General features: G+C 37.0%; 1 protein-coding gene across 21 annotated transcripts in view, besides 2 other annotated features; it reads left to right on the top strand.

Moving 5' to 3' along the window:
• The window catches only part of NEK1 (NIMA related kinase 1), a 219,775-nt gene that overhangs the window by 189,055 nt on the left and 17,489 nt on the right, over positions 1 to 13,231 (top strand). The window lies entirely within an intron of this gene.
• Positions 6,319 to 6,398: an enhancer, noted in NCBI's record as "active region_22137". NCBI's record gives its function as "activates an Ori minimal core promoter by ATAC-STARR-seq in GM12878 lymphoblastoid cells {active_cell/tissue: GM12878}" and the evidence as "EXISTENCE:reporter gene assay evidence [ECO:0000049][PMID:35858748]".
• Positions 12,418 to 12,607: an enhancer, noted in NCBI's record as "active region_22136". NCBI's record gives its function as "activates an Ori minimal core promoter by ATAC-STARR-seq in GM12878 lymphoblastoid cells {active_cell/tissue: GM12878}" and the evidence as "EXISTENCE:reporter gene assay evidence [ECO:0000049][PMID:35858748]".

Here is a 13,231-nt window from a genome sequence, read left to right as displayed (position 1 = left end):
GATTTGTATACATTTATGTTTCTGTGTTTTACAAATGAGATTGGGCATTTTTTTTTATTTTAGCCTGTAAAAGAATCAACTGCCTGAATTCTTTAGTCCTTAACTATTTTTTAAATATGTCATTTTGGCCAGGCATGCTGGCTCATACCTAGAATCCCAGCACTTTGGGAAGCTGGGGTGGGCGGATCATTTGAGCTCAGGAGCTCGAGACCAGCCTGGCCAACATGGCAAAACCCCATCTCTACTAAAAATACAAAAATTAGCTGGGCGTGGTCGTGTGGGCCTGTAATCCCAGCTATTTGGGAGGCTGAGGCAAGAGAATCACTTGAACCCGGGAGGTGGAGGTTGCAGTGAGCCAAGATTGCAATATTGCACTCCAGCCTGGGTGACAGAGTGAGTCTCTGTCTCAAATAAATAATAAATAGTCACTTTGATTTTCAATTTAATTTTCCAACTGGGTATACTTTCATTTTGTGGAGTATTTTCTTATGCTTATCTTAAATTTAGAGATTATTAAATTTCCTCATGTATCTAATATCAGTCTTTTGAAAGGTGTGAACTACCAAAACCAATTTATGATCTTCAGAGTTAGAGAGAAAGGCCTATAGATAAGGACTATCATACAATTCATGTACTTTTCTTGTAGTAAAGATGTATAGCCATCTTTAGCTCAGAGCTTCTTAATACCTATTGCCATCTATAAAGTTAATATTCTTTGCATAATACATTTGATTGTTTGATTTTCTTTTATGACCTTAAGAGTTCTATAGAAGAACTTACTCTGGAAGTAACCACAGCAAATTAGAAGCAGCAATGCAGATTTCATGTAGAGGAGTATGAGGAAAAGAGGCAAGAAAAAACACTAGAAAATCAAAGCAGTCTGTAGCCATTTAGGAAAAGAACACAAAACCATCCCTGCCCGTTCTATAAATATTTATATAATCTGTTTACTAAGGTGGGATAATTTAACCTTTTATAAGCATGTTTAAAACTCTTTTTTGCAAATGTTAAGTTATACTACTGGTGGGATTTTTTTCTTGATTGAGGAAATTCCCCTTGTGCTTTGGATCCCACCTCCTCACTCTTCAAGGAACTGACTCCATTAATTTTGCCACTCTAACCCGTGTCATCAACTTTTTCTATAGTGGATCATTTACTCAACATATATGTTCTAATAAATCTCATCAAAAATAGCAAACTTCTTTTGAGCACAGTATCCTTCTTTACCTACGACCCCATTTCTCTATCCCCTTTTGCAACCAAGCATCTTGACTATGTTGCAGTCTCATTGCAGTTTCCACATACATTCACTTCCCAATACATTCCAGCATGGCTTTTAGCCTGCTCGTCCACTGAAGCGGCTCTGTTCAGATAGTCAGTTACCAGTATGTTGCCAAATTCTCTGCACCGTTTTCTCTTTCACCTTTCTTAGCTTTTCAGAGTTCATATATGCTGTACTTTTAAATTCACTTTATCTGTTGGCTCCCTTTATATTGTACTTTCCTAGTTTTTCTCTGAACTCAGTAGTCACTCTTCTGTCTCCACTGCTGGTGGATCCTACTCTAACAAATTTCTTAAAAATAATGTGTGTTTTTCTACTGTGAAATATGCTATGAATGTCTATAAAGTCAAATTGGTTGATAGTGTTCAAGTCTTCTGCATCTTTACTGATTTTTTAATCTATTTGAACTATAAATTGCTGAGAGAAGATTGAAATTCTTAACTACGCTTGTGTAGAGTTGATTTTCACACTGCTTTCAAGAAGTACCTGAGACTGAGTAATTTATGAAGAAAATAGATTTAATTGACTTACAGTTCCGCATGGCTGGGGAGGCTTCAGGAAACTTAACCATCATGGTCCTAGAAGGTGAAGGGGAAGCAAGGCATATCTTACATGGCAGCAGGAGACAGAGAGAGGGAGAGAGCGTGGGCACGAAGGGGGAAGTGCCACACACTTTTAAATTGTCAGATCTCATGAGAACTCACTCACCATCACAAGAATAGCATGGGGGAAATCTGCCCTCATGATCCAGTCACCTCCCACCAGGTCCCTTCACTGACTCTTGGGGATTACAATTCCAGATGAGATTTGGGTGGGGACATAGCCAAACCATATCAACTTGTATAGATAACTATTTCTTCTTTCAGTTATGTCAGTTTTTATTTTATGTATTTTGAAGTTCTGTTTTGGGGCAAATAAAAATTTAGCATTCTTATGTCTCCTGGATGAATTGATAAGTTTATGTTTATGAAGTATCCTTTTTGTTTGATCACGTTGTTCAGTATCCTTACTGATTTTCTTTCTACTTATCAATTACTGAAAAGGAGTGTTGAAATTTCCACTCAGTTGCATTTGAACTAAGAATCAATATGTCTTCTTAATGAATCAACCCCTTTGTCACCATGAAATGAATCCTTTTATCACTGGTCATATCACCTTGTCTGAAACATTTTCTCTGGTTTTATTATAGCCATTCCAGCTCTCTTATGCTTAATCTTTATATGGTATATATACATTCTTTACTGCTCTTAACCAAACATTTTATATTTAAAGTGGATTTCTTACAGTTAGCATGTTAGTCAAGTCTTGTTTTTAACAAGTCTAACAATCTCTTTTAATTGATTAGACAATTTACATTTAATGTAATTATTAATATCACAACCATATGATTGGGTTTAAACCTACCATTTTGCTATTTGTTTTCTATTTGATCACTTTTTTGTTCCCTTTTTACTTTTATTCTTCCTTCCTTTGGATTTAGTATTTTTAGCACCTTATTTTATCTCTACTGTTTGTTTTCAAGGTACATCTTTAGCTTAGCATAATCTCCCTTCAAATAATATTATACCACTTCACATATGTCATAAAAACCTTACAACTATAGGCAGTCATGCATCACATAATGACATTTCAGTGAATTACAGACCCCATATACAGCAGTGGTCCCATAAGATTATAATAGACCGAAAAATTCCTCTCACCACCTAATGACATCGTAGTGTCACAGTGTAGTGCATTACTCACATGTTTGTGGTGATGCTGATGTAAACAAACCTACCACACTGCTAGTCCTATAAAAGTTTAGGACATACAATTATGTACAGTACCTAATGCTTGACAACAATAATAATTGACTGCATGCCTGGTTTGTGTATTTTTAATACTTTACTTTTTATCATTATTTTGGAGTGTTCTACGTATTAAAAGAAAGTGAACTGTAAAACGGCCTCAGGCAGGTCCTTCAGGAGGTATTTCAGTGTATAGTGTATAGTTATCACAGGAGATGACAGCTTCATTCGTGTTATTGCCCTTGAAGACTTTCTAGATTGGAGGTGGAAGACAGTGATGTTGATGATCCTGACCCTCTGTAGGCATAGGCTGACGTGTGTGTTTGTGTCTTCAAGTTTATAAAGTGAAAAGGTTACAGTAAGATAAGGTTAATTTATTGAAGACAGAAAATTTTTAAATACATTTAGTGTAGTCTATGTATACAATGTTTATAAAGTCCACAGTAGTGTACGCTAATGTCCCAGGCCTTCACATTTCACTCACCACTCACTCACTGGCTTACCCAGGGCAACTTCCAGTTCCACAAGCTCCATTCATGGTAAGTACCTATACAGGTGCACCATTTTTAATCTTTTATATGGTATTTTGACTATACCTTAGTGTTTAGATAGACAAATATTTACCATTGTATTACAATCTTCTATAATATTGAGTGTAGTAACATGCTATACAGGTTTTGTAGCCTAGGAACAATAGGCTGTACCACATATCCTAGATATGTAGTAGGCTAATACCATCTAGGTTTGTGTAATTACACTCTATGATGTTCACACAATGACAAAATTGCCTAACAACACTTTTCTCGTAACGTATCTTTGTTAAGCAAAGCATGACTGTACTTCCATTCCCGTCCTGCCTGTCCTTCGTGGTATTGTTGTCGGGTATTTTTTCTACCACGTTATAAATTCCACAATACATTTTTATTATTTTTGCTTAAACATTCATTTATCTTTTACAGAAGTCAGAAATTGGAAAGTATTTTATATTTACATGTTTACTATTTCTGACATTTTTTGTTCCTTTGTGCAGAATTCAAGTTTCTATCTGGTATTCTTTTTCTTCCACTTTAAGAACTTCCATTAACACTTCTTACACAGCCCTGTTGATGATGATTTTTTTTTTCAGATTTTGTTTGTATGAAAGTGTTTTCATTTCACCTTCATTTTGAGTGGATATTTTCACTAGATATAGAATTATATTGTCTTCTGGGTTGCATTGTTTCTAAGAAATATGTGAGCTTTCTTATCTTCATGTATATAGAGTATCTTTCTCTCTGGCTTCTTTTACAGTTTCCTTTTTATCACTGGTTTCTAGCATTTTGATTATTAAATGCTTTGGTAAGGGTTTTGGGGAGTAAGGTTTTTGGAGTAAGGTTTTATAGGACTAGCAGTGTGGTAGGTTTGTTTATATCAGCATCACCACAAACATGAGTAATTCATTAAACTATGACACTACAATGCCATTAGGTGGTGAGAGGAATTTTTCAGCTTTATTATAATCTTATGGGACCAATGCTGTATATGGGGTCTGTAATGTGTGTGTGTTTATCCTGTTTTGGGGTTCATTGATCTTCTTGGACCCTTAGGTTTATACTTTTCATTAAATTTGGAAAAGTTTTGGCTATTATTTCAATTAAATATTTTTTCTCTCTCTCTACTACCTTTTCTGTGACTCCAGTTACATATGTTAGACTCTTTGATACCATTCCACGGGTCACTAAGATTATGTTCATTTTGTTTTCAGTCTTTTTTTCTCTCTGTACTTCCTTGTGGATAAATTCTATTAGTATGTATTCATGTTTACTTATCTTTTTTCTGCAATAATATACTATTAATCCCACTCAGTGAACCTTTTATTTCGATATTGTGTGTTTTATCTTTAGAAGTTGTTTTTGTGTCTTTCATTTCTCTCCACATTATGTTCGTGTTTATCCTTTAATACTCCATTAAAATAGCTGGCTTAATATCCTTATGTGCGAGTTCCATCATCTCTGTATCTTCTTCTGTTGACTTATTTTTCTACTGGTTATGGATCATATTGTCCTACTTCTGGGTGTGTTTTATAATTCTTTATTTGAAGGTGGACCTTGTGAATATTATATTCCTAGGTCTCTGATTTTTTTGTTATTACTATCTTCCTGTAAAGAGTATTGGGTTTAAGTTAGTCAAGTTACTTGTGGATCTATTTTACACTTTTAAACTTTGTTTTTAAGCTTTGCTAGGACAAGTGTAAAGTTGTCTTCATTCTAGAGCTAGTTAACTTATTTCCAAGGCATGACCCTCTAGGGCCTCCACTGTACATCACAGGTGATCTTGAGGAAACACCTCCCTCCCGGTCAGTTTGATCATCTCCTACCTGCATGAGCTCTGAGCATTGTTCAGCTTACAACTCCCCAGCTGTTTTGGCCTAGCTTTGTGAAGTTTCATTCTGCATATTCATGGCCTGTGCTCATCAAAGACTCAAGAAAACTACCTTGCAAAGTTTTGAAGTTTTTTTTGTTTTATTTTAATGAATCTCTCTTTTCTAGTTCTACCTCCCTGGACTTTGATCTTTGTCTCATCAGTCTAGCAAGGCTGCACCCAAAGTCCAGATATTTTCTCCAGGCAGAAAGCCAGTTTAGTGGTAGGGTTTACTTCATTCATTTCCCTTCTCACAGGGATCACAGTCTTGTGCTGCTTATTGTTTAATATCTAAACACAATGTCATGTATTTTGTCCAGTTTTCTAGTTGTTTCCTGTGGAAGTTAAGTCTGGCCATTATTACTCTCTCATGGCCAGAGCTGGAAGTCTCCAGAAGATAAATGTGATATTTTAAGGCTATGTCCTGGGCCTTCTCTGTTTGCATTTGCTTCCCAAGTAATCTGACCCCAAGGCTTTAAATATAATTTATATGCTGATGATACTCAACTTTATTACTCTAGTTCTTTCCTACAGATTATTCATCTATTTCATCAATCTACTAGTCATATCAACCAATTGTTTCCTAACTTCTCTTCCTAATTCTGTGGCTGCCTGTGTGAAATCCATTGTCCAAATAGAAACCAGAAGTCTTTTTTAGTATTATAAATTATGTCAAATCACAGCCATGCTTAAGACTTCAGTGGCTTTCTGCTGCTTAACTAATATTCAGACTCTTTACCATGGTCTACAAGGTTTCATATGGCATTGACTGCCTCTCTGTCTGACCTCAAAACATTTTTCTCTAGCTCATTCTAACATTTTCCTTTGATACACCAGTCCCTTTCCTGCAGTAGAGTTTGCACTTGCTGTTACCCTGGCCTGAAATGAGCTTCTCTTTGTTCTTTTCAACTGTGACTCATTATAGTCTTTCAAGTGGGGCCTTGGCTTCATTTCCATTTCTAGTAATTGCCATCCCAACTAATGTCAGACATCATCATCTTGGCCATCAGGTTGGAAAATTACAGTTATAGGACATGCTACTATAGCACATACAGGAAACTCTAATATAGTAGTTGTTAGCTTTTCAGCTTCACTTATTACTGTGATTTTATTTAAAGTATATTCATGAATGCACTTAATCTTTTTTTAATATTAGAGACAGGGTCTTGCTCTGTCTCCCAGAATGGAGTGCAGTGGTGCAATCACGGCTCACTGCAGCCTCAACCTCCTGGGCTCAAGCAATCTTCCCGCCTCAGCCTCCTGAATAGCTGGGACTACAGGCATGCTTCACCATATCTGGCTAATTTTTAAATTTTTTGTAGAGACAAGGTCTCGTTATGTTGCCCAGACTGGTCTGGAACTCCTGGGCTTAAGCAATCCTCCCACCTTGACCTCTCAATAGTGCTGGAATTACAGGCGTGAGCCACCATGCCCAGCCACATGTGCTTAATCTTAATCTTTGAGTACCTCTGATAACATCTAGACATTTATGTATCTGTGATACCTAATGTGAGGATTGTTAACCAGTACACCAAAGATCTGTCTTAAATAAGATGTACATTAATATATCTTTATGCTGTCAGTTTACTTTGGTGAGTAGTATAAGAAATTCTCTAGAAGACTTTTGTATTTACCTTGAGGATGCTGTTGTAAATCTTATCTACCACACGGTTTGAGAAGGAACAAATAAGTGAAAACACTTGTAATGCATTATGATAATTCCTGTAATGGAGAGATGAATGTGGGATAGTGGGACCACTAAAGAGGAAATGATTAAGTCTGTCCTAGAACAAAGAAAGATTTCTGAAAAAGTTCGCATGGTGGATAAGACATGAGAACATTTAAAGCAAAATTAACTGTCATGAACATGAGATAGCACAGTGTGTTTGAGACATTACAACTAGTTCTTAGTAACTCAGATGTGAAGGAGGTAAGATTCCAGTCATTCTTGTCCTTAAGCAGATGTCCTTAGTTTTCGAATCTGTGGGATCTTTTCCCCGTTTTCTAGAAAAAGTCTCTCTTTTTTCTGAATAAAGGAATACAATGTCTTAAAGAGATAAAAGTGGAGCTGTTCTTGTGGCCCAAGTCCTCCCTTGTCCTCTTGCTCCTACCCCGCCCTCCACCTCACAAGCAGTTCCTTAGCCACGTGTTTAGAGCCCTAGAATTCTGGGAATATGCTCTGGATCATGATACTAAGGCATTCCTTTAATGTACTTTAAAGGGCTCTTTTTGCAGAAACTAAGATGTAATGACAGTAAACTGAATTACATGTTTAAGCATCCATACAGATAGTAGTTAGTGGCTTAGTTGATCACTGTAAGACTGGCAGTCAGAGTAATGCTTTGATTGCCACCATTCATCAGCAGGGATAGGCCTGGAATAAGCAGTTATTCCAGAAGACTGCCCTTCCTTTTATACTACATATTTGTTTATACCCTGCTTCAGACCAGAAGAATTGATCACATCCAAATATATAGATTGTACTAGAGAATATGCATTACAAATCAAGCCATTAGCAACTATTTTACATAGTTATTAATATTGAGTATAAGATTTGTTTAAATGATAGTCAAAATGAAAAGAGAATTATAAACTATGCCATATTCCCCAGAGGAGAGAAATATATAAATTGTTCAGGGGAATAAATGCTTTCCTTGCTTCTTCCCTCTGTAAGGGATTTCTCTACTGGAGTTTTCTGTAACAGCCAATAAATTCTGTAACCTATGATAACTTCAGTACTACTTCTACTGTAAATACAGTAGATGATTTTATAAGGTAGCTATAAAGTGACTTACTAAAATGAGGTATCACACTTGGAGATCACTGAAGGTTAGTTTGTGAAAGGTCAAAATTAAATAGTCTAAAATTGTTGTTTTCTCATGCTTTTGTTTACATAAGGACAGATTCTAGATTACCAAATGAATTAGCTGTTTGTCTTTGAAAGAGTCACATTTTGCAATATAGCTTTTAATAGATTATTCAGTGGATGGCACTGCAAAGGCATGCCATGCAGTGCTCTATGTTGTTGGTTGATAACTTTGAAATCCAATGAGGCGGTGATACAATTGATAACCTATAATGGAAAATGACTGTAACTCAGACTCTAGTTTGGTTAGGTGGCCAGCTATTTTTGTTAAAGTAGGTTACAGAGCAATTTTTAATCAAAACTAGAACTTCTTCATGAAAACTTTTTTGTTCATTCACCATTTTGTTCATTCACCATTGATTAATGATCAGTTTGTTTTAAACCATATAGCCTTAACTCTAGAATTTTAATGTGGGTACCGTGAAGAATGTTTGTCTAAAATACAGATTCTTACACCTCACAGCTAAAGGTATTTGTTTTAATATATCTGGAGCAGAGGTCAGGAATATGCATTTTTGGCACACACCGTAAGTAATTCTGCTGCTGGTGGTCCACATTCCCCACTTGAGAAATACTGCCACAGATCACAGTTGACCTAATTGCAGCCTGGAAAGTGTTTAAAGTATGTTATATGTCAACCCTCCTTGACCACTAAAAATATTAATAATGCTTCAAAGGAATGTCTAATTTTGAGTGCTGTGCCTTTCTGATGAATTACAATTATGAACACTTTGTCAAATACATTCATAAATATTAAACAAGTTAATTTTCTATATAGGGTTATTGGATAACAACCAATAAAATTTTGGAAAGAGATTACTAATATGAGGTTTACTTCTTGGTGGTAATAAAAAAGAAGTACCAAATTTAAGACCATATTATCAGAGTAATACAGATTATACTGACCTTTCTGTTGTTACTAGTAGGATGTATGACTGTAACTCATTAAAATTTAAGCAAATAGATTCTAGATCAGAAAACAGCCTTGCATTGTTCACAATTATTAATATTTTTTGTCTTGGGAAGTAGCTATGAACTACCATCTAATAAAAGTATACTAATTATTAGTGTAATAGTAGCTGGCTAATAGTATGAATAGTATTCTATATACTGTTCTAGCTGCTTGACATATAGTTACTTCTCACAGTGACCCTATGTGACAAATACTGTTTTTGTTCAGACTGAGTCTCACCCTGTCACCCAGGCTGCAGTGCAGTGGCACAATCTTGGCTCACTGCAACCTCTGCCCTCTGGGTTCAGGTGATTCTTCTGCCTCAGCCTCCCAAGCAGCTGGGATTACAGGCACCCACCACCATGCCCAGCTAATTTTTGTATTTTTAGTGGAGACGGAGTTTCACCGTGTAGCCCAGGCTCATCTTGAACTCCTGACCTCAAGCGATCTGCCCACCTCGGCTTCCCAAAGTTCTAGGATTACAGGCGTGAGCCATCGCACCTGGCCATTAATACTGTTGTCTCCATTTTACGGATGAGGAAATTACAATGCAGAGAGGTGAAGTACATGGTGGATCAGTATAGATTTTGAAGGACGTATTAGTGACATGAGGTGACTGATCTAGTTTCTCACACAGAGACAAAGACTGATTAAAGGTCATTTAAATTTGTACTTTATCACTTATTTATTCATAAAATAACTGTTGCCTGTGGTGAAGTACTTCCTGCATTGCCATCTTATATGAAAACTTGCCTGGAAAACTTTGGAATTTGTTGTAGAGGAATGTGGCATAAAATTTAGGTGTATTTGGGAGGCCGAGGCAGGAGGATCACTTGAACCCAGGAGTTTGAGAGCAGCCTGAGCAACATAGTTAGCCCCCACCTCTACAAAAACATTTTAAAATTAGCCAAGCATGGTGGCACACACCCACCTCTAGTCCCAGCTGCTTCGGAGGCAGAGATGGGAGGATCGCTTGAGCCCAGGAAGTCAAGGCTGCAGTAAGCCGTGTTCATGCCGTCACGCTCCAGCCTGGATGACAGAGCGTGACCCTGTCTCAAAAAAAAAAAAAATTAGCTGTACTATTTAAATATTAATAACTATAGTTTGAAGGAGTAAAGAGTTGCTTTAAAAAAAAAGTGACATAAACTAAATTAACACCACACACCTATGATGTTAAGTGAACAGAAGGTAGAGTTTATAGCCCACAAATCAGAACAGTCTGAAAAGTTTGGGTCCTTATATTTGTTCATTAAGTGAACTCCATCAAAGAGACATTCAATCTCAATCTCCCTTGCCTCTCTCCTTGCCTCCCTCTTTCCCTCTCTTTCTTCCTCTCTCTTCCTCCCTCCCTCCCCCCACCACCCCTCTCAGTCTTATTCCAGCAGAGACCTATGGCTCCTGAAACGTAGATAAGCCTTTCTCCTTTCTGTTGCCACAACTGTTCTCTAGTCTTGTGGTGATAACTTTTCTATGTTCAGAATTCCCAGAGTCAGGATATTTTTCTTCCCTAAAAGTATCATAAGGCAAAGACTGGATCTATTTTCAATCACCATTATATCCTCAGCATCTAATACATGGTTAATGCCCAATAAATTCTATCAGTGGATAGAATGTATTCATCAGTTAGGGACTTTTTACATGTGGTTGCTTTGTACCTTACCAAATCTAGCTTTGTTTTGATAAAGGTATAGGCAGGCCAAAGAAGTCCAATAGTAGAAGATAATGGTGAAGCATGGTTTAAAGTTCATTCTCTACCATAAAGCTTTCCTTTTCTTTGTCCTGTTAGGGAGAATTCATCAGTGATGGGTTTTGATTAAAAGCCTTTTACAAGGAGGCTTTTAAAAGTAGAAATCAGTCTAGGGAAACACTGTTCCACCTTCAGAAGAAACAAAGGTAGGACAGGTGATAAGCAGTTTAAAGCCAGTGATACAGTCTTGTATTCTTCTCTAAAGAACAACTGTTTCTTTAAAAGTACAAACTGGTTAAGCCTGTTTGGTTGTCCTCACAAGTGGATACAGGATGAATTTGTGGAGTTGCCCACAAATTCTCACTCTGAGTCAAGCTATTGTAAGGCAGATTCATTTAGTCAACAAATATTTATTAAATATCTGCTATGTGCCAGGTACCACTCTAAATGCTAGAGTTAACAGTAGTGAGGAAAACAGACAAAAATCCTCTGCTCATGGAGCCATTCTAATTGGAGAATATAAATGATAAAATACATGATCATAAATAATTGGAAAAATTGAAGCAAGGCTAGTGAAGAAAGTTTGTGTACATGAGCCCCATTTCTCCTCCTTATCTGGAGCCTGCTAGTCAGGTATGAAGGTATTCCTCAGAGGTTACTCCTGGCTGGGATACATGCCTTCATAATGCAGTGAATGGTCTGTAGGCCAACATAGGTTTGTAAAGATTCAAATCAAAACTTTGCATTTGTTGTGATTTTATAAAGGGAAATTATCAATATATTTTTCCAATGGAATTTTTAAAAATAGTAACATTTTCAAGATTTGATTAATTTATAATCCCATGAAATCTGAAGTAGGTTGAGATAGAGAATTACCTGCTAACTCCACTTCATTTGCAGCCAGTTAAAATGACATAAAAGTCAGTCATGGCGGTGTGCAGTGACTCACGCCTGTAATCTCAGCACTGTGGGAGGCCGAGGCAGGTGGAACACCTGAGGTCAGGAGTTTGAGACCAGCCTGGCCAACATGGTGAAACCCCATCTCTACTAAAAATACAAAATTAGCCAGGTGTGGCGGCACATGCCTGTAATCCCAGCTACTCTGGAGGCTGAGGCCCGAAAGTCGCTTGAACCCAGGAGGCAGAGGCTGCAGTGAGCCGAGATTGCATCATTGCACTCCAGCCTGGGCAGCAAGAGCGAGACACCATCTCAAAAATAAAATATAAGTCAGTCAGTCATGACCACTGAGACTAAAAAAAAAAAAAAAATAGAGTCAGATAAAGATCATAATATCAGTTTTATTTTTGATAAAGCTCTACTGGAAAATGTGGCCTTAGGTTTGGCTTAAAATCATGCCTCTCAATATTTTCCTCCTGTGACTAGTCCTTGGAATCTGAAGAACAAACTTTCTTAACCCACAATAAGAGCTTTATATCCATCAAGCTCCAGTAGCAGGAAGACTGAGAGTGAGACCTATCTTGTCCCTAGAAAGCAGGCGTAGGCCTGAGCTATTTGTGCTCACCACAAGGCAACAGAAGGGAAACAGGATACGCACGCACACACTCTGTGGCAGGCAGATCTGAGAAAGAGAACAGGAAGGACACACACTTTACTGTCAGTGCCCTCTTGCAAATTTGCCTTCAGTCAGCTCGTGTTTCTTCACTTTAGGGGATAGTGAATAAGGGATGGAGAGAGACCAGATGTGTTCTGTGGATAGGGAGTGGGACAAAAAAATGATCTGCTTTATGAAAACTTGAGAATTTCTTGTTAAAGCAAATGCAAAGTGGCAAAAAATGATGAATGTATAATTCACATAAATAGCACATGTACCTTAGATGTCTTTTGATTTGTTAAAGTATTCCATTATTAGATAATGTCCGTAATTTTTGTCTTTGGGAAGTGTTCCTAAGTTTTAAATTAATGTTTTAAATCCATTTTGAGCCTGATGTATCGGTTGAAGTAAGCAGATATTCACAGTGGTTATTCTTAGAGAGCAGCAGCAGCATTTAATTGCAGTAAACAGAGGCTAAAAGAATGTGTCCATCATAAGACATTTGGTAGTGTAACTAGAATACTACTACTTCCTGATTTTATATGAAAAATACTGGAGCTCAAAGAGTGTATTAGAATTACTATGAGTAGAATTTTTTAGTTGAAGTTCTGTTAATGCAAGTAATACTGAATTCATTCACTATGTTATATGTTTCTCTACATCTTTGAAAAAAAATAGAACTAACCAGCAATAAAAACTGAAGGA

This window comes from Homo sapiens, chromosome 4 (assembly GCF_000001405.40).
Source record: "Homo sapiens chromosome 4, GRCh38.p14 Primary Assembly".
Lineage (NCBI taxonomy): Eukaryota > Metazoa > Chordata > Mammalia > Primates > Hominidae > Homo > Homo sapiens.
Note: the sequence above shows the minus strand (reverse complement) of the source record. Positions and strands in the feature narration are given on the sequence as shown.